General features: G+C 45.2%; 1 protein-coding gene across 3 annotated transcripts in view, besides 6 other annotated features; it reads right to left on the bottom strand.

The window, feature by feature from the left end:
• SPATA13 (spermatogenesis associated 13) overlaps positions 1-20,530 on the bottom strand; it is a 327,268-nt gene that overhangs the window by 69,281 nt on the left and 237,457 nt on the right. For 2 of the 3 annotated variants that reach the window (NM_001286792.2, NM_001166271.3), the window contains one exon: positions 13,207-14,970. The exons of the other annotated variant lie outside the window; for it this stretch is intronic. In NM_001286792.2, the coding sequence (NP_001273721.1) occupies positions 13,207-14,970 (1,764 nt within the window). The remainder of the gene's footprint in view (positions 1-13,206; positions 14,971-20,530) is intronic. 3 annotated transcript variants of the gene reach the window in all.
• Positions 11,959-12,815: an enhancer, noted in NCBI's record as "H3K4me1 hESC enhancer chr13:24799112-24799968 (GRCh37/hg19 assembly coordinates)". NCBI's record gives its function as "activates a minimal SCP1, AML or CMV promoter by ChIP-STARR-seq in naive H9 embryonic stem cells {active_cell/tissue: H9 hESC(naive)}" and the evidence as "EXISTENCE:reporter gene assay evidence [ECO:0000049][PMID:30033119]".
• Positions 13,590-13,659: an enhancer, noted in NCBI's record as "active region_7472". NCBI's record gives its function as "activates an Ori minimal core promoter by ATAC-STARR-seq in GM12878 lymphoblastoid cells {active_cell/tissue: GM12878}" and the evidence as "EXISTENCE:reporter gene assay evidence [ECO:0000049][PMID:35858748]".
• Positions 13,674-14,530: an enhancer, noted in NCBI's record as "H3K27ac-H3K4me1 hESC enhancer chr13:24797397-24798253 (GRCh37/hg19 assembly coordinates)". NCBI's record gives its function as "activates a minimal SCP1, AML or CMV promoter by ChIP-STARR-seq in primed H9 embryonic stem cells {active_cell/tissue: H9 hESC(primed)}" and the evidence as "EXISTENCE:reporter gene assay evidence [ECO:0000049][PMID:30033119]".
• Positions 13,860-13,969: an enhancer, noted in NCBI's record as "active region_7471". NCBI's record gives its function as "activates an Ori minimal core promoter by ATAC-STARR-seq in GM12878 lymphoblastoid cells {active_cell/tissue: GM12878}" and the evidence as "EXISTENCE:reporter gene assay evidence [ECO:0000049][PMID:35858748]".
• Positions 16,404-16,698: an enhancer, noted in NCBI's record as "tiled region #6807; HepG2 Activating non-DNase unmatched - State 6:EnhF, and K562 Activating non-DNase unmatched - State 24:Quies". NCBI's record gives its function as "activates a minimal TATA promoter and a strong SV40 promoter by Sharpr-MPRA in HepG2 cells, with weak activation in K562 cells {active_cell/tissue: HepG2 | K562}" and the evidence as "EXISTENCE:reporter gene assay evidence [ECO:0000049][PMID:27701403]".
• Positions 19,964-20,243: an enhancer, noted in NCBI's record as "active region_7470". NCBI's record gives its function as "activates an Ori minimal core promoter by ATAC-STARR-seq in GM12878 lymphoblastoid cells {active_cell/tissue: GM12878}" and the evidence as "EXISTENCE:reporter gene assay evidence [ECO:0000049][PMID:35858748]".

The raw sequence follows: 20,530 nt of genomic DNA, 5'->3' as shown, positions 1-20,530 counted from the left end.
CTGGTTATGTTGCCCAGGCTGGTCTCAGACTCTTGGCCTCAAGTGATCTTCCCATCTTGGCTTCCTGAGTAGCTTGAGATTACAGGTATGTGCCACTGCACCCACCTCCATTTTAATTATTTTTAGGTGTATGAGTCAGTGGGATTAAGTACATTCACACTGTTATGTAATTATCACCACCATCCATCTTCAGAACTTTTTCATCTCTCCCAAATGTATCTCTGAACCCATTAAATACTCTCTTCCCCCACAGCCCCTGGCAATGACTACTCTACTTTCTGTCTCTATGAATTTGACTACTCTACGGATCTCATGTGAGTGGAATCATACAGTATTTATTCTTTTGTAACTGGCTGATTTCACTTAGCACAATGTCCTCAAGGTTCAGCCATGCTGCAGCATGTTTTTTTTGTTTTGTTTTGTTTTAAGATGGAATCTGACTCTGCCGCCAGCATTGGAGTGCAGTGGTGCAATCTCGGCTCACTGCAACCTCCACCCCCTGGGTTCAAGAGATTCTCCTGCCTCAGCCTCCACCTCCTGAGTAGCTGGGACTACAGGCACCCACCATTATGCCCAACTAATTTTTTGTATTTTTAGTAGAGATGGGGTTTCACCATGTTGGCCAGGCTGGTCTCGAACTCCTGACCTCATGATTCACCCACCTCGGCCTCAGAAAGTGCTGGGATTACAGACGTGAGCCCTGCGCCCAGCCTGCAGCATGTTTGTTAAGGCATAAATAATATTCCGCAGTATATGTACACACTATACTTTTTATCCATTTGTCCATCAACAGACACTTGGGTTGTTTCCTTCTTTTGCCTCTTATGAATAGTGCTGCTATGAACATGGGTGTCTAAATACCTGTTTGAGTCCTGTTTTCAATTCTTTTGGACATATACCCAGAAACGGAATTGCTGGATCATACAGTAATTCTATGTTTAACTTTGGAGGAATCAGCACACTGTTTTTCACAGCAGCCGTACCATCATTTTATTTTCCCACCAGCAATGCACAAGGGTTCCAATGTCTCCCTATCTTTGTGAACACTTGTTATTTTTTTTATAGTAGCCATTCTAATGGGTGTGAAGTAGTATCTCACCATGGTTTTAATTTGCATTTCCCTAATGATTAGTGACACTGAAGATGTTTTCATATACTTTATCATTTGCATATCTTTTTTTTTTTTTTTTTTTGAGATGGAGTCTCCCTCTGTCACCCAGGCTGGAGTGCAGTGGCGCAATATTGGCTCACTGCAACCTCCGCCGCCTGGGTTCAAGTGATTCTCCTGCCTCAGCCTCCCCGAGTAGCTGGGACTACAGGTGCGTGCCACCACGCCCAGCTAATTTTTTTTTATATTTTTAGTAGAGACAAGGTTTCACCATGTTGTCCAGGCTGGTCTCAAACTCTTGACCTCAGGTGATCCACCCGCTCACCTGCATATCTTCTTTAGAGAAATGTCTATTCAAGTCCTCTGCCCATTTTTTAAATGGGGCTGTGTTTTTTGTTGTTGTTGAAGATATCATTTATGTCATTTAATTTAAAAACTCTCTGAAGTAGATGCATTTAATTCTACTTTACAGATAAGAAAGATTAAGTGATTCCTCAAGAGATGAGGAGGCTAATAAATGGTGAGCATGTCTGCAAGCCACATCCCAAAGCAGATGCTGATTCTAGGCCTCCTTCCCCATTTGGAAACCCAGCTGCAGGCCCGACCCCACCCCTCACTACTTATGTGACAGTCCTTGAACTTTTCCAAGCCTCAGTTTACTCATCTGTTAAAGCAAATACAAAAATCACCTATGTCACAAGTGGCTGTGAAAACTGAATGCAACAGTGTTGCATGATGGAACTTCATCCACTGAAAAGGCATATCAATTTGAGCTGTTATTATTTATATTCTTATTTTCAAGAAACAGTTACTTTTTTAAAATCCCAAATGAGTTGGTAAAAATTCTAGTTCTCAGTAGTGGATGGAGCAATTGCTAGACTTACACTGCTCAACATATTTTAGACCAAATTCTTTATTTTATTTAAGACAGGGTTTCACTCTGTCAGCCAGGCTGAAGTGAAGTGGTGCAATCATAACTCACTGTGGCCTCGATCTCCTAGGCTCCAGCAATCCTCCCACCTTGGCTTCCTAAGTAGCTGGGGCCACAGGCTTGCACCACCACACCTGGCTTTTTATTTTTTTTTAAGAGACAAGGTCTCACTATGCTGTCCAGGCTGGTCTCGAGCTCCTGAGCTCAAGTGGTCCTCCAGCCTTGACCTCCCAAAGTGCTGGGATTATAGGCATGAGCCACCACGTCAGCCAGACCAATTCTTTATCACACCATTTCTTGCTTGAAAAGTTTTTACAAGCAATCTTTCTCTCTTTCCGGCATGCCTCCCTGGCTTCAATCACTCTATTCTGGAGAAGTACAGGACACTTTATACCTAGAGGAGCCTCAGCCTGGACAGCGAATCTCAAAGTTTGCATTGACAAAAGTCATTTTCCCGAGTTGATTGCTGATAGTCCAAATTTCTGGGTCTAAACCTCAGGGACTCTAATTCAGTAGCTTTGGGTGAGGTTCAGGAATCTGTAGCTTTGGTTTGTAACTCAGGGCGAGGTCTTTGCTCCGGCTATAACTTAGAAGTACATAATTTGCAAAGTTTAACTGGTCTGTACTGAAATGTTTGACCAAAGGAAATAATTTCAATCATAACAATGATTTCTGTTATAAAAGCTACTATTAACCCGATTTACCATGTTCCAAGGCACTGTGGTAAGTACCATACATGCATTATTTCATTTAATTCAGGCAGTACTATAATCCCAATTTTTTAAGAAGTTGAGGCTTAAGTAGGTCAAGTGTCTTTCTTAAGAACATACTGCTAGTTAGCAATAAAACTAGGACAGAACTCAGCAGAACAAGGCCCAACTACCTTACACCATCCAGCTTCCTGACCACTCAAATTGGGAATGGCTGGCTGGCAGCCATATGGATCCTGGTATCCTAGAAAGTTACTAGATCAGTGCAGGGCAGCAAGCAGCTGTGAGTGCTATATCCTCTCCAATCCACAGGGCCCCTCTCTCTATTCCTGCACCAGTTGACTCCCTGAAGTCTGCCCCAGAGCACTGCAAGTGGTGGTTTTGTCCCCAGACTGTCAGAAGTAGAAGAAACAGGTAATGTTATTTATATAGTGACTTCTGGCAATGTGTACTCTGGCCCCCACCAACAAAACGTACGGCATTCCTTCTAATCATCACCATCATGGCAGACACAGCCAAATCAATCGGTGTCACCAAGCCGGGTTGAAAGCAATTCCACCCTGGGTGGCCTTTGATCTTAATTGTTATAGAGAAGTTCAAGAAGAGAAATATAGAAGAGGAGAAAAACGTATACTGAAATCAGTTTCTTAGTCATCAAGCTAAAATTCCCCCTCTGAAGAATATGGAAGTGTACCTTTCTGTATTTAGTACTTCACTAAGGTCTAATTATGCCCTCCTATCCACAAATTAAAATGAGGTGCTAATTAAGATAAAATAAGAAAACACTGAAGAATATATTATGATATTGCTTCCTATCATTTCTTAAACTTCAGGAAGCTTAACATGCATAGCATTAATAAGATGCAGTACATCATGACAAGTTGATTACAAATGGTTACTGTGGTAATTTCTATAAGAGTTGGCATTTAGTCTCTTGTGCAGGTATAGGGGTATGATTCCATCTACCTCCCCCCTTATTTTTAATGAGAAAATCCTATTTAATGGTATCTCACTAGAGAAACTATTCTAGAAATGAGCCACTGGAAAGTTCAAAACTACAGGTATACGATAATTTTATTTAGATTCTGCATTTGTAGAAATAATCTTATCAGTGTGTGTGTGTGTGTGTGTGTGTGTGTGTGTGTGTGTGTGTTTAAGTGTATAAAGTTCTGTAGCCTGTCAGCAGTGCTGGAGGAGACTCGGGATTCCGCAGCTTTGGCTTGCATCCCAGGGGGTCCTCACTCTGGCTAGAACTTCACAAGTACATAATTTGCCGGTTTAACTAGTCTGTACTGAAATGCCTGACTCAAATGTTGAGCACCCTTTCAGAAATACTTTGAAACTTTCCGTTGAAAAAGAATTAGGTAATAATGAGCATAAACCTTTTCAGAGCAAATGGAAACTTTTTTTTTTAAACTGACTTAGAAAATGATTCCATTGTTAAAGTAAAAAGCTACTTTCACATTTAGACTCATGATGTGAATTTCTATGATTTAGTATTTCTGGAATAGATCCTTTTTCACATTTTTCTCCAGCAAAAGGAAAAGAAACAAAAACAAGCTAAAAACATTCTAGGAGAAACTGAACATAAACTAGCACAAAGATGACTCATAGAAGGCACATTAATTCTCTTCAGATCACATTAAAAAGCCCTCTGTAAGAGAAGATATCTGTTGCATGTCTACCCCAAGCATACTATTTAGGAAATATCATAAAACACTAACTGTCATATCAGGGCAAATGTCCCTGCAACAACATGTTCAATTCATTAGAAAAACATTTTTTGAAAGCACACATAATATTATATTTAAAAATTATCTTTCTAACTCTAATTTTTGTGATTCAAATTCTGTAATGTTTTTGTCAGAAAAAAAATGAATGAGAACCCAGAGGAATATGGAAACTTACATTCTCTGCAGTACAAAAACCATAGGCGGCTGAATAAATGGAGGCTGGATAAACAGATGTTCATATATTAAAAAATGAACCTTCATATTACACACAAAAACAACTAAACATGGGGCATATACCTAAATGTAAGAGCTAAAATGATAAAACTTCCAGAAAATAACACAGAAGAAAATCTTTGTAATCTTAGAGTTCTCAGATCTACAGAAAACTACAAAAATTTGGTAACTGTATTTTCATCAAAACTAAGAATTTTGACTCTTTAAAAAATATTATAAAACTGGGCTGAGAGTGGTGGCTCATGCCTGTAATCTCAGCACTCCGGGAGGCCGAGGCAGGCAGACCACTTGAGCTCAGGAGCTCGAGACCAGCCTGGGGAGCATGGCAAAACCCCACCTCTACAAAAAATACAAAAAGTAACCAGGTGTGGTGCTGTGTGTCTGTAGTCCCAGCTACTGGGTGGGGGTGGTGCTGAGGCAGGAGGATTGCTTGACCTTGGGAGGTTGAGGCTGCAGTAAGCTGTGATTGCACCATTGTACTCCAGCCTGGGCAAGAGAGTGAGACCCTGTCTCAAAAAAGAAAAATATTAAAAAATTTAAAAGACAAGCCAGACTGTGAGAAAATATTTGTAATTCCTATTAATTTGATGTGTCAACTTGATTGGGTGAAAGAATCCCCAGAAGGCTGATAAAGCATTATTTCTGGGTGCGTTTGTGAGGGTGTTTCCAGAAAAGACTGGCATTGGAATCAGTAATCAGTAAAGTAAAGAAGACTTGCCCTCAAGGATGTGGGCAGGCATCTGCAATCCCTTGAGGTGTCAAATAGGACAAAAGTCCAGGATTCCCCTCCTCTCCTGGCAGACATCCACCTTCTCCTGCCCAGGAACACTGAAGCTCCTGGTTCTTGGGCCTTCGGACTCCATGACTTACACCAGCACTCCACCCCATCACCTTGTCCTCAGGCTTCCAGGCTCACGCTGAACTACACATCTGGCTTCCTGGTTCTCCAGGCTGCAGATGGCAGATCTTGGTACTTGGCCTTAATCACACCAGCCGATTTTCATATGTATCCTATTGGTTCTCGTCCTCTGGAGAACCCTGAATAATCATATTATCTGATAAAGGACAGGTGGCCAGGAAATATAAAGAAACCTTAACTGCTCAATAAAAGGATGACAAAGAATGCAATGAAATGATGAGCAAAAGATCTGAATCGGCACTTCACTAAATCAGATCACTTGAATGGCTAATAACCACATGAAACGACGTTCAACATCATTAGTCATTAGGGAAATACTAATTAAAGCCAAAATGAAATACCACTCTACACCCGCTGGAATAGCTAGAGTCCAGAATACTGACAATACCAAGTCCTGGCAAGGATGAGGAGAAATTGGAACCCTTATACAATGCTGGTGAGAATCTAAAATGGTACAGCCATTTTGGAAAGCAGCTTGGCAGCTCCTCGAATAATTAAACATAGAAATGTCACAAGACCTAGCAATTCCACCCCTAGGTATCCACCCAAGAGAAAGGAAGCATATTTCCACCCAAGGACTTGTATGTAAGTATTCATAGCAGCATTACTCATAATAGCAAAAAGGCAGAAACAACCCATCTCCATCAACAGATGAACAGATAACAAAGTGCGGTATAGATAGCCATGCACTGAAATATTACGCAGCCTTAACAAGGAAGGAAGCACTGATCATGCTCTATGGACAAACCTTGAAAACAAGGTTTTGCTCAGTGAAAGAAGCCAGTCACAAAAGACCACGTATTACAGGATTCCATTTCTATGAAATGTCCAGAAAAGTAAAATAATAGACACAAAAAATAGCTCTGAGGCTGGGGCTAGGAACAGAAAGTGACTGCAAATGGCGCGAGGCTTCTTTCTGGGGTGGTGAAAACGTGCTAAAATTAGTCTGTGGTGATGGCTGCAGAGCTCCATAAACATATAAAAATCACTGAATTGTTCGCTTAATAAAAGGTGTAGACACAAAGCCCATCAGCTGTGGCCTAGTCTTGGGTGGGAACAGGGATTGGTAAAAGGCGTGGGGAAGCCTTCTGGGGGGAGCCAAGTGTTCTTTAGCTGGACGGTGGTAGTGGCTGCACACACTACATTTCCCAAAAATCATCAAACTGCATACCTACAACCGGTGAGTTGATGTTATGCAAATTAGACCTCTCTACAGAGCTGGTCTGATCAACCCCAGCCACGGAATGTCCCTCTGAGTCCCTGCCCTGACAATGTCACTGACTTTCCACCACTTACAGAGTAAAGTCCAAATTCACAGCTGTAAGCGAGGCCCTTCCTAATGATGTCCAGACCTAACTGCTTAACCTGATCTCCCTCCTCTCCACCCAGCCACCCTGTACAGAAGTTCTGCAAGCCGTCTGCAGCTCCCTGAGCACAATAGATGCATCACTTTGCTAGAAACTTATATACAAAGCCCCATGTTAAGTCCACACATCACCTCAGCTAATCTGCACAACGATCCTATGTGGTCGGGACACTTATCACCCACAGTTTACAGGCAAGGAAAATGAGGTTTAGCAAAGGTCGAGAACTGGTAAGCAGCAGAGCTGAGCTCAGATGTGGGCATCTGCCTCCTGTTCTACACTCTTCCCGCCAGCCTGGAAGTCCAGTGCCCTTCTGCAACCGCCGCCCGGGGCACTAAAGACCCCACTCCACTGTCCCTCCCCAATTCTGCCACTTTCCAGCCAGAGTTCTTCATTCTGCCGCCTTTGGGGCTCCTGCGGCACTTACTGCATTCTCATGAGGAGCCCTTACCACTACATCATAATGACCTGCACACATTCCTCTCACCAGCTAGGCTCTGAACCCATGAGAGTACAGACAGCTTCTTTTTGTTTCAACCCCTTCTGTTCACATAGCAGGTGTTGAGTGGTGAGGTACATGACAATTCCTTATGCACTGTTTGACTTCTGCTTAATGATTCCATCTTAACTTGGATTATTCCTCTATATCAAACCAAATTACATTACTTCCTGTTCTCTCCAATCACAGAATATCTCTGCACACATGCCCAACCTACTCTACACCTCACTGAAATGCCCCTGTCCTCTCCATAACCATCTGTAGAAATCCTCCTTCTTCAAATCAGATTCAGTCACCCTTATGAAGCCTTCCTTGATTTGGTACATGGGTGAGAACTGCAAGTCCTCTGAAACCCATAGCATTTTGCTTTTACCACTTTTATGGAATTGAATCCATCAAGTTCTCCTATGTTTTAAGTGTATCTGGGCACAGGTACAACTTCATTGGCATCACCACATTCCCTATAGAGTCATACCTAACTGGTCTCTTGTATCTGACATGTGTTCAACAAATTTGGTTGGGGACATGGTTTCATGAAAATATAAATGTTGGATTATGCAGGAACTTAACTCTTATGCTTTTTTTTTAAGTAGCATGATGTCAAACTAACTGTTTGAAGAACTTCTCCATCCCCTGTAAGACTGTAACAGTGTTATATTGAAAAAGAGTTCTGGAAAGAACCGACCTTAACGTCCCTGTCTTAAAAAGCCATGTCAATCTAGGATGGAAAAATCATCTAAACAGTGATAACCACACAGTGGGCAGTCAGTGTCAAAGGGCGGGCTAAGTGTTTGACATCCATAATTTCACTGGCTCTTACCATCCCCAGGGGCAGATGAAGTTACTCCATATCCTACCCTTGAGAAGACCCACGGCAGGAGAAGTTCAACAGTTTGCCCCGGTTGCCAGGGATCTTTTAATAATAGAGCCAGGGTCCCAACTCAACTAGAAACATGTGCCAAGAGACTGCAGCTTACCATAGCTCCCTGGAGAGGGGTCCAATTGGTTGTCATCATTTAAGAGTTTTTTCCATGGCATATTTAGCACTACCTGAACCACTGACTCTGCTGCCTGAGTTTCCACTCACTAAAGAGGGGGTTTCTCCTTGTGAGCTGGTAGGAGAAGCAGCATGAATGCTCCAGACTCCTAGGCAACACCTCCATAAGGCAACAGACAGCACTGTCAACAAGTAAATGCAACCTGTAACTTAAAACAGGTCACAAGCTTAAGTACTTGTTCAACAAACCACTGCTCTTAAAGCTTACCACTAGGTGGCAGGAGCATGGCATGCTTTGTAAATTAAAGCGGCAGGACATTTTCCCAGCTCTTTTTCACAGCAATACACAATCTTGTTAGACTGCTTAAAATTTTTCAACGATTATTTTGTTATTTTTAGGACAGTATGATATAAATAAGTGATTCTAAATAAAAATTATTCTCCCTATTGAAAGTACATTATAATATTTATTTTAAATAACACCATAATATATGTTGATTACAACTTTTCATATTCAACAATAAGTTTAAATTTGCTTTAATCCTGTAAGTAGAACCTTACTGTTAATGAGCTGAATAAAAAAACTGTATATTGAAAAATAGTAAAGACTGAAATTTAATTTTGTAATGCTACAAAATAGACAAAAATTGCTTTTAACTCATGAAGGCTGGAATCCTTGCGTGTCACCCTTTTCCTGTTTGTTTCCCTTAGTTTGTATTTTGTTTCCCAAAGCCAAAATAAAAAAGGTTTCAGGTTCTACTTCACAAGCACTTCTCTACAAGTAACACCGAACATTCCCAGTGTATAAGATGCAATGTATAAGTTATGGGTAAAGCCATAACTATATTTTCTCTTTTTGACATATATGTTAAGAGTACAGGCTCGGCGCGGTGGCTCACGCCTGTAATCCCAGCACTTTGGGAAGCTGAGGCAGGCAGATCACGAGGTCAGGAGATCGACACCATCCTGGCTAACATGGTAAAACTCCGTCTCTACTAAAAAAATAGAAAACATGAGCCGGGCATGGTGGCAGGTGCCTGTAGTCCCAGCTACTCAGGAGGCTGAGGCAGGAGAATGGCGTGAACCCGGGAGGTGGAGCTTGCAGTGAGCCGAGATTACGCCACTGCACTCCAGCCTAGGCGACACAGTTAGACTCCGTCTCAAAAAAAAAAAAAAAAAAAAAAAGAGTACAAGAGGGGAGAAACCCTATTTTTACAAAAAATTAGCTGGGCATGCTGGCAGGTGCCTGTAATCCTAGCTAATCGGGAGGCTGAGGCGGAAGAATCGCTTGAACCCGGGAGATAGAGGTTGCAGTGAGCTGGGATGCACCATTGCACTCCAGCCTGGTGACAGAGTGAGTGAAATTCCATCTCAAGAAAACAAAAGTACAAGAGGAAGCCTGATGTGCTATATAAGAATTCTGAGGCCGGGCGTGGTGGCTCACACCTATAATCCTAGCACTTTGGAAGGCTGAGGTAGGCGAATCACTTGAGGCCAGGAGTTTGAGACCACCTGACCAACACGGCAAAACCCTGTCTCTACTAAAAATACAAAAATTAAGCTGGCATGTTAGTACACGCTTGTAATCTCAGCTACTTGGGAGGCTGAGACATGAGAACTGCTTAAACTTGTGAGGCAAAGGTTGCAGTGAGCCAAGATCGCACCACTGCATTCCAGCCTGGGTAACTGAATGAGACTGTCTCAATAAAAAAAAAAGAATTTTGAAGAAATGACTGCAACTGAAAAATGTGATGAATATCTGGAGGCAAATTCGTAGAATTATCAACATGTGCACGCACCTTTAATAAACTGAATTTCAATATAATTGTTGTTCTGCTTTCTATCTTTGGTGATCTTTTGTGGGTAGAAATTAAATTTGATATAACTAACAATAGCAAATATACATATAAAACCATAAAATGGTCAAAATCACCCTGGCAAATAACTACACACTAGTTCATATATATTCACTTAACAGGTTCTCAGGAATAAAATATTTCAATGATTTTTAAAAAAATAATTCTGTTAAGCAGAAAATAAAATCCAATCTTTAACATAAAAAAACCCTCCAGACATATACAAATCCTTTTTTAGGGAGGGGAGGTTACAAACTACGAGTGGCGCAGGTAGGGTGTTTAGTGGAAGGAATGTTACCCTTCATCCTTCATCTCACCCAGGAATTAGTGAAGTTTGGTCAGTTGTACAAACAGGAGCCAACAGAACTGGAACTCCTTCCTAAGTCTGGTAACTACTCCTGTGTCCTTACAACTGCTCCACAGGCTCAAATATGCAAATGAGCAGACGGTTCTCAATAGTCAAGACCTCTCAAACTGGTGAGCTCTCCACGGGAACCTCAGGTAACAGACAATATGCAGTCTCACTTCTCTGGCTGCCCAGGGGACCTTGAGACTAATCTCAATCTGAAAGTACTCTGCGATAGTCCTACTTTCTAGGTCTTTCTACAAAGGTTCTACTAACCAGGTCTGTCTGTACAGCAAAGGTCAAGATGGACAGTGCAGAGGCTGTCCTGGCTTCTGAGTCTGCAAACTTGCTGTGCAATCATTCATCTGTAGGTGCTAAGACAAAACTGAGGTCCTCCCCAGGGATGGGTGGGAAGGAGCATTTGCTAGGGGATTATTCTCTATGGCAAGCACCATCTATACCTGCAAATCAATCTAGAAATGTATGTGAAGAATAATCTGCAATATATACACATGAATGCATTTCCCCATCTTCCAGCTATGTAAGGTAATATTACTCAGTGTTTATAAAGTGAAAATTATAAAGATGTTTGATAGAATATGAAAAAAACTGCTGTTGTAACCTTGACAGCTATTAGCTTAGTCAATTAATGAGGTGCTTATGATCTACTCTAAAATAAGTACAATAACCCATCATAAAAATCTCTTTAAACAAGCATCATTCAAAGGCCGACAGGTACCAAACTGCATGTTCCTAATTCATTCCTAGGAAATTAAACAGACTTAGTGATGGTGGTGGGAGGTGGACAGGTACCTAGGTGGGAAGGGGCGGGTCCGCAGTGAAACCCCACCTTCAAGCCAGGGACAGCCTGAAGCCTCAGGGCACAGATGCCAATTTCGTGTGAAGTCAGCGACCTGGAGTGAGAACTTCCTTGATGCCTTTCAACCAATCAAATGGTGCTTTTTCCAGGCCTGCCCATGGACCAATCAGCATGCACTTCCTCCATTCTGAGCCTATAAAAACCCCCAGACTCCGCCACTCATTGGGACTACCTGCCTGCAGAGAGGAGCAACACATTCCAGGTCTCCTATGGGCTGAGAGTTGTTCAGTCACCCAATAAAGCTCTTCTCAGCCTTGCTCACCCTCCGTTTGTCCACGTAACTTCATTTTTCCTGGATGTGGAACCTGCCCAATGGTGGGAGCGAAAGGAGCTGTAACACTTTCCCGGATGGCTCGCCCAGCTGCAGGTGGGAGTTAAAGGGGCTGCAACAAATTCCTGGCCAGCTCACCGAGCTACAGACAGTGACATGCCCCTGGACTGCAGGCGTGAAGAGTGGCAACCCTTCTGGGGGCCCAAACCTTGGGATTCCCTCAACTAAAGTTGTAACACTATAACCCTCCCAATTTCCACCAGCACCAGGCAGCTGCAACATGCAACAGGAAGCAGTGGTGGGGCTAGACCAGCCCAAGAGCTGCATGCTGGAGTGGGGCAGTGGGACTGAAGGAGATATAACACAAATGGGGTGAAACATACTCCCAGAAACAAGCCCCCCTGCTTGCTGTAATGCAGGTGATGAGAAGAAGAGAGCTGTGGCCCTTCTGGGAGCCCAGATGAGAACCAGGCTGTGACAGGCCGTAACACCCTCTTTGGGGCTCTGTGATTCCTGGTATCTCTGAGCTTTCACTCGTCACCACGTTCCCCTCGTCCACACGCTGGTGCCTGCAGCGGAAGCCAGCTACAGTGCATCTGGTCCAGCCACAGCCTTGCATGGAGCCAGCACCTGTGCCGGCACCTGGAGCTGCCTGCCCTGCTGCAACAGCTGACATGCCTGGCTGTGTGCAGAGGCTGGACTCCATGCTCACTCACTCACACACCCCTCGCTGCTCCATTCCTGGTTTGCCCTTGGCAGGCATGGGATCTGGGCTGGCAGTGCAAGCCGAATGCAGCCTGCTGGGCAGAATGGGTGGAACGAGGCTAGTGGGCACGAGCAAAACTCAAGCAGAGGCACTGCCAGCCCACAGAGGTTTCCAGCTGGTCAAGTGACACCCACAGGTGCTGTGACATTAGGACAGGTAATAGTCTCTTAACAGAAAGAATTTCACTTATATGTACTTTGTGGGAAAGGTTACAGAAACAGCTTAAAATACAAAGAAGAAAGATATGAGTCAGAGCTGCATGGAGCAGAAGACAGTTTGTTTACAACTTATTTTTTTCCCCCAGAATCTAGTACCTGGTACATGTTCAATAAACATCTTTTGAATGAAAGGTGTGGCAAATGTCATCTCAATGAATCTCGTACATTGTCAATTTATTTCAAAGGAGATAGAGATTACTTCTGAACTTGGTAAACAGCAACTTGACAACTCCCATTCCCACTAATACTGTAAGGGCAACAAGGTCAGCAGAGGGCCACTGACCTTGACAGGTTAGGGACCAAGGGCAACACCTGTGCAAGCTCCCTTCCCGCAGGAGGGTCGCCCACATGAGGGACCTCGCCGCTGCCCTTACCTCCTCCTTCTCCTTTTCTTCTGGGCCGGCTGCCACACCAATGTTCACCAGAAGGTCCTTGCTGCCCTCATCACCATGTGTGGCTTCCAGGGGATCCTGCAAGGACACAGGCCCTGGCTCTCTCTGAGCAGGCTCTTCTGCCCTTCCTTCACTTTCCTCTGAATTCGCGGACAGGGCACTGTGATTGCTGTGACAGCTGGCACTTCCTGCCCCGGGGCTCTGGGGGCTCTGAGGGCTCTGGGGCTTGGGTGTGGTGGGCCTTAGAGGGGTGGGAGGCTGCTCAGGGTCAAATGTCAACTGGCTGCCAGCGTTTGGGTCACAGGAGTCTTTGCTCAACACATCCTGGACAATCGGGCTTGGCAAAGAGCTGCAAGTGCAGGAACTGTCGCTTTCCACCGCCCAGGAACTTTTGGTTTCAAGAGGAAATACGGCAGTGTCAGCGTCTAGGTGGGGCCCCTTAGAGGTGGCTGAGCCGAAACCGGGGGCCACGGTGCAGGTTGCAGTGGTCCCATGCATGACCGCCCCGCCCCGCCTGCTGTCCTGCTCAGTGCTCCTGGAGACGCGGCGGGAGTAGTCGTCATGCAGCCGGCTGTGTGCCTGAAGTCTCAGGCTGGCCTCTCCAGGGGATGGGGCCCCACTCCTAGGACTCTCCCTCCTCCAGGCAGCCTCAGTCACATTGCTCACAAGTTTGAAGACTCTGTCAAAGTCCTTGGCCCTTATCGGGCTCCTCCAGCGTTTGGTCCTTCCTGACCCAAGCTTTTGGGAGTCAGTGGAGGAACTGCTCAGGGTCCTCTGTGGTACCCGTGCGTCATGGGCCGTCCTGAGGTCTGCAAGATTGGAGGTGGACTTCCGCTTAAAGGAGCTCTTCTTCAGAAAGGCAAGATTGTCCGTGCTCTTGCTCCTCCTGTAGCCCATGCTGTTGTTTTCAGGGTCCCTCACGAGAATCTCACACACGGCGGGCACCTGGCCAGTGGCTATCGTGGGTGTCGCATGGTTCTGGGGCGCATCCAGCAGGCAGATGCGGCCCAGGCCGTAGGCTCTGCGGAGGCTGCGGGAGCGGTGTGTGCTCCGCTGGAAGGCATCGTCCGTGTCCTCGAGGTCGGAGCCATCCAATGTGCCCCACTCTGCTGGCCTGAGGGCACCACATGCTGGTCCCGGTGCTAAGGGGGAGCCCCTGCTTGCCTGGGCTCCTGGGACAGCGCCATTTGGGATGGACTTTCCCAGGCCATGCTCCGAAGCCTCTCCCTTTGAACAGGCATTTGACCCCTCTCGGCTCTGAATTCCTTTCAGGACTGAGGACTTCAGTTTCTTAAAGGATCCCATTTTCCGGAAGGAGGCGAGGGTGTTCCATGTGGAGGAGTTCCCCACCAGGACCATGGAGTGGGGCCGCTCGGGGTGGGCACCCGTCCTCTTCCGACTGGTGGAAAAGAGGCGCACAAGCTTGGCTGGGCTGAGTTTGGCTTCCTGGGTGTCCGTGTCGCCACCAGGGCTGCAGCCACAGACTCCATTTCCACACGCAAGGGAGGTCACCATCTTGGCGTCTTTCAGGTCCGAGCCTGCACAGGGGGCTGCGGGGCCTGGCCCGAGGCCGTTTGGGGCAGTGGTCATGTTCTCCAGGCAGGGTGCCCAGGGCCGCACGGCAGCCTGGGTCATGGCCACGGGCACTGCCGAGTCCGCAGACCGCAGCTCCAGGCCTTCATCTCCAGGAATGCCGTCCTGGCACTCACACCTGCCTTGCACATCGGGCTCCTGGGTGGCCACGGGCTGCAGTGAAAGACAAAGCAGGCGGTTTAGCCATTTCCCACGCAGTAGCCCCTCTGCTCACAGAAGAAGAGGCACGCTCCAGCACAGGGCTGGTCAGATGAAAGCTACTTCAAACTCAATTAAAACTGTACATTTCCCCTCCATTCACTTCATAAGTTGAAGGAAAGATGCAAATATACATCCCTGGACAGAGAAGGGTAATTATGGGCTGTGCCACGGACATGAAGGTAAACTCCTGAGCTCACTGGAACCTGTGTAGGTGAGACTAGGAAAAAAACCGCTGGAATGAAAATATCTAGGTATCATTCAACACTATCTTTTCTTCTTATTTGAAATGGAAAAAAAAATAATTAGGAAATACCAAAAGAAAACCTCACAACGATTTCAAAAGCATGACATTAAAATGGCAGCCTGTGTTGAATCCAACATACCGAATACTCAAACCAAGTGCTGGCACACGCAGGAATAAGCATGAGGAGCAGAGATGGAGCCCCACATGCTGGCAGCTGCCTCCTGTCCAGGAGGGCTGAGACGCCCAAACACTAACTGAGAGCCTCACAGGGCCACCTAGACACAGGCGGGAAGGACTCAGCAAGGACATGCCAGGGCAGCCTCTGAGAAGGAAACACATTGGTGGGGGTCTTTTTCCAACTGGCCATACAGCAGAGAGAAGTGAGGATGCTGCTGAAGTATATTAGAAATTCAGGGTTGGGTGCAGTGGCTCACGCCTGTAATCCTAACACTTTGGGAGTCCGAGGCACGTGGATCACCTGAGGTCAGACGTTCGAGACCAGCCTGGCCAATATCATGAAACCTCATCTCTACTAAAAATTCAAAAATTAGCCAGGCGTGGTGATGTGCACCTATAATCCTAGCTACTCGGGAGGCTGAAGCAGGAGAATCGCTTGAACCTGGGAGACAGAAGTTGCAGTGAGCCAAGATTGCGCCACTGCACTCCAAACTGGGCGACAGAGTGAGTGAGACTCCGTCTCAAAAAAAAAAAAAAAAAAAATTCAGAGGTAAGAATTCAAATTAAACAAATTCGGCATCTTTTTCCTCTTCCCACGTGCCCTGACAACCACACACTACTGCACCCATGCCCATCCCACACATCCACTTCCACACCTTCCCCCAATACCTGTATCCATATCTTTACTGCACACACCTGTATACATACTTTCCCACACACCTGTGTCCATGCCTTCCCCACACACCTGTGTCCATCCCTTCCCCTCAGATCTTGTCCATGCTTTCCCCATCATGCACATCTGTGTCCAAACCCTTCAACCCCACACCTGGGTCCATGGCCCTCCCCTGAAAAATGAAAATCCTGCTCCCCCTTAACCTTTCCCATCAGGCCAAGACCTGCTTAGCCTTCAAGTGATAGCCTACATGTCTCAGCCCCCCGTTCTCAATAAATAGTTACTGGATGAATGAATGATAGATTATGATAATAACCATAAAAGACTACCAACTTTTAAGTACTTACTATATGTCAGGCCTCTGCCCTAAGGTCTTGGAAAACATAACGTCACTGAGTACACACAGAAACCTAAGAGGTCACAGAATGACTTGCATTTTTCAGACAACCAGATGGATACTCAGGCAGGTTAGGTCATTTGCCTGGGAGTCCTGCAGCTGTCCCCACAAAGCCCACACTCTTCTCCACTGCAGTAAACTAATGAACAGAGAAGCACAATGGGCATCTGTACCCCAGGCATCTGACTCCAATTCCTGGGCCTCACGACCCTGACTGTAAATAAATCCCAAAAATCTTTAGACATCAGTCAATGCCATTACCTCCAAGGCCACAGAGGCCAAAGGCAAGAGAGGAACAAGAGGAGGACATTTTTTAAAGATCTTGAGATCAGATCCCAATTTAGCGTATCCCTATCAAGTGCAGAATCTGACCCCATGCAAACAGAAACATCTCTCTTCTGCTCCTACGCCCCATGTTCTTGATGGGTTCTATTTTTATTTGCCCCTACATCATTTCCAGTGAGAAGGGATTCCCACAGACAGCCATAGGTAAAGGGTCAAAGAGTTGATTCCACCCGGGACAAGGGAGGCTACGATGACTTAGACCATCAGCCAATTCCATTCATCAGAAGACTGATGGGCTACCACACGCCCTCTGCAGTTTAATGTTCTAATGGAGGAATTAGGGGGCCAGAGGAGCTGGGGGTTACATTTGGATGAGCCACATAAGCAGAGGCTTGAATCATCTCTGCGATGAGACTGGATATGAAGCCTGTAACCAGTTGCAAAGTAAGTTCAACATTTGATATCACCTATCCAACCTCATGTGCTCTAGAAGGGATAGGGAATTTCATTGTTTCAGCATCTCAGAATCATGAAATGAATGAGATTGTTTAATCAAAAGGTCAAGTCCAGTTCACAGGCACTGACATTAGTAGTAATGGTCTTCTTATGACTCGCACTGAATACAGAAGAGAAGGCATGATTTCTGCCTTGTAATTCAGGGGATTAGACAGCTTCCTGACACCACCAGAGGGCACTATAAGACCTTTTATAACCAAGAAGGAAACAAGGGCCCAAGACATGGGAATCGGCCTAACCTTGGTGCTGTCATATGGCTCTTGAGTCAGTCATTTCAGTGATCTGTATTTCAGTGCTGTCTACAGAGGAAGAGGTACCAACATTTATGCATATACCCACTTCATGAGCATCTACTGGGTACAAGCGTCTGTGCGGGTCCCATGAGGAATTCAAGGCAATGATAAGGTAATCGCTCATTCTAGATAAGAAACTGGCAAGAGCAAAGCAACAGTCAACGACACACAGTACAACTGGGAGGCAGTACATTTGGGGGACCAGGTGTCTGACTGACCCAGGAATGAAGGGTATCTCAGGATATGGGACTTTCAGGGTTGAAACCAGCAAAGTTCCTTGCAAATGGGGTAACTGATCACTCTACAGTAAGTAGAACAGTATCATTGGAAGGAAAGCTCAGTGCGATAAATTAGTAAAATTAAGGTGAAAGTGGGTTTAGAAAAGCCTACACATCCTTAATCTAATACCTCATCATTCTTTGAGACGAACTGCAGGTGTCTCCTTCCCCAGGAATTCCTTCCTGAGCCCCCTGCAATGAATGAAATCCCTTACTCTGTGCTTCCACAGGCCTTCAGGCATCTCATCAAATTGTTTTTACCAAAATGGATTATAATGATAGCTTTATATGGCTGCCTTCAAACAAGACTGTGCACTCTCTGAGGGTAAGAATGCTGTGCTTTGCACACTTAGATTTAACTTCGATGTGAAGTCGTATCAGTTATCCTGCCTTGTCTAATCCGTACCAAGGTAAGAAGTTGTTACAACCCACTATGTTTTTATAGAGTGAAGAAGTTGAAATTTTCTAACACTCAGAACTTAATTTCTAGGATTCAGATTTCATAAAACACATGCAAAAAATTGGGGTTTCTAATTGGGACAATATGCTTTTTAAACGACCAGTGACTTAGTATTTTGTTCCTGAGCTGAACAACGTGATTGTTGTGTGCTGCTAAGAATGAAACTGAAAATTATGGAAAAAAAGCCTTTTCCTGGAATTTCTGAGTAACATACCAAGTTGCATTATTTAGAACTAATAATTTGACCTCAATTAACTAACCAAGGGTTGCAATTCAATTAGTGGTTTTGTAGCAAGTCTTATAAATTGTGGGAACTCTGCCAGAGATAGGAAGAGAACAGAACTAAGAAAGAATTTCAGATAGGAATATTGTGAAATCCACTGTCTACAAGCTGGATTCTAGGGTGTATGAACTTTAGAATGAAACTTTTTTTTTTTTTTTTTTGGTGATAATGAGAATTTGCACCAAAAACAAACAAACAAAAAAATGAAACAAACAAACAAAAAAGCTTCTGACCAGTAATTTTTAAATAAAAACTTAAATTTGAAATTCAGGAATATAGAACAGATTAAATGTACAAAAAAGCAGGAAGGTTTTTGTAATATACTCATCATGTACATCAGGAGTGTCTAACCTTCTGGCTTTCCTGGGTCACATTGAAAGAATTGTCTTGGGCCACACATAAAACACACTAACACAACTGCTGATGAGATTAAAAAAAAAATCGCAAAAAAAAAAACCCCTCATAATGTTTTACCAAAGTTTACGAATTTGTGTTGGGCCACATTCAAAGCTTCCCTGGGCCACATGCAGCCTGCGGCCCACTGGTTAGAGAAGCTTGATTTACATGATAACAAAGTGACACTGAAAGAAAACATATTGAAATCCAAAATGCTGAAGGAGTGAGTGCAGACCCTTAAATCACAGCTGCACAGAATGTTGCCCTAGGGAACATGTGACCCCTATTCATGCCAGTGAGGATGCTAGGGCCCAGTGAGGCTGAGTAGCTTACTACCATTGCTGTAGTGACAGCCCAGCAGGGTGGAAATCAGAGGGTCCACCCCAGCACTGCTACCTCCTGGCCAGAACCTGGGGGTCATGCTAGACCCTCTTCCTTCCCTACAGATTACACCAGGTCTAAGCGACTCTACTGCATGCCCACCAGCCCTTTGTCGGCATGGTGGCTGGTGCCTCATTCCCAGCCTGCATTACCTTCCACCTGGATGACCATGGTCTGGCTCACTGCCCACCCATCCTTCACTCTGCTGCCAGAGTCCATTCCACACTGCAGATGGGTGTGTCACTGAACCAGGGTCACTGGCTGCCTGTGGACTTTGAGGAGATGTTGAATGTCCTGTGCCTAATACAGGACGCCTTTCCCTCCAGCAGGGCTGAGCTATTTGTCATGATCCTCACACCACCATGCCTTTGCGAGTTTTGTCTGCTCTCAGGCTCTTTCTCCAGCCATTGTTATCTCTCTGTTTTGGGAACCACAATTCCCAGATTCCTGACAAATGGCTTCTGTCCAGGTTTGGCAGTGGGCAGTGGTGGTGGGAGGTGACTTGAGGGTTGGGGGAAGGGAGTTGCCACAGTATTTTGTGGGCACGTGCAGCAGCTGTGGTGTCTCTGTGGCTCCAGCCCTGCTGGGAAGCTCCTCCCTCCCAGGTCCGAGGTCCTGTGGGCAGCACCAACTCCCAGCTCAAGCAACACGCCCTCTTGTTTACCACTCCAGCCCAGGGGCTGGTAGCAACTTCCTGCTATTGCACTGTCTTCTGTTTCTCAGCTGTATAAAAATAACCCCTGTATTAGATTCTCTGTTTGAAATACCTAGAAACAGTTCTCTAATGTTTCCCACACTGCCCGGTCATTCTGCTTTCCTTGTCTGCCTTCTCCACTAACCTCTCTGAGGAGCATGGAAAGTTCTCTATAGGCAGAAGCCTTGTCTTATTTCACTGTGTTCTCAGCATGTGTCTGTTGAATGACTGGCTGAAGGGGCTGCTGGCTTTGCACATCTCAGGTCTGATACCCCAACATCTGGGCCAGATGGTTCTTTGTTGTGGGAGCAGACCTGTGCTTTGTAGGATGTCTAGCAGCAACTGTGGCCACTGATGCTATTAGGAAGAAGAATTGTAATAAAAAGAGAGAGAGTGCTGAAAACCATGAATGTGCTACCAATTAGTTTCAGAATA

Source organism: Homo sapiens, chromosome 13, assembly GCF_000001405.40.
Source record: "Homo sapiens chromosome 13, GRCh38.p14 Primary Assembly".
Lineage (NCBI taxonomy): Eukaryota > Metazoa > Chordata > Mammalia > Primates > Hominidae > Homo > Homo sapiens.
The sequence above is the reverse complement of the archived record's forward strand: the minus strand, read 5'-3'. Positions and strand labels throughout refer to the sequence as shown.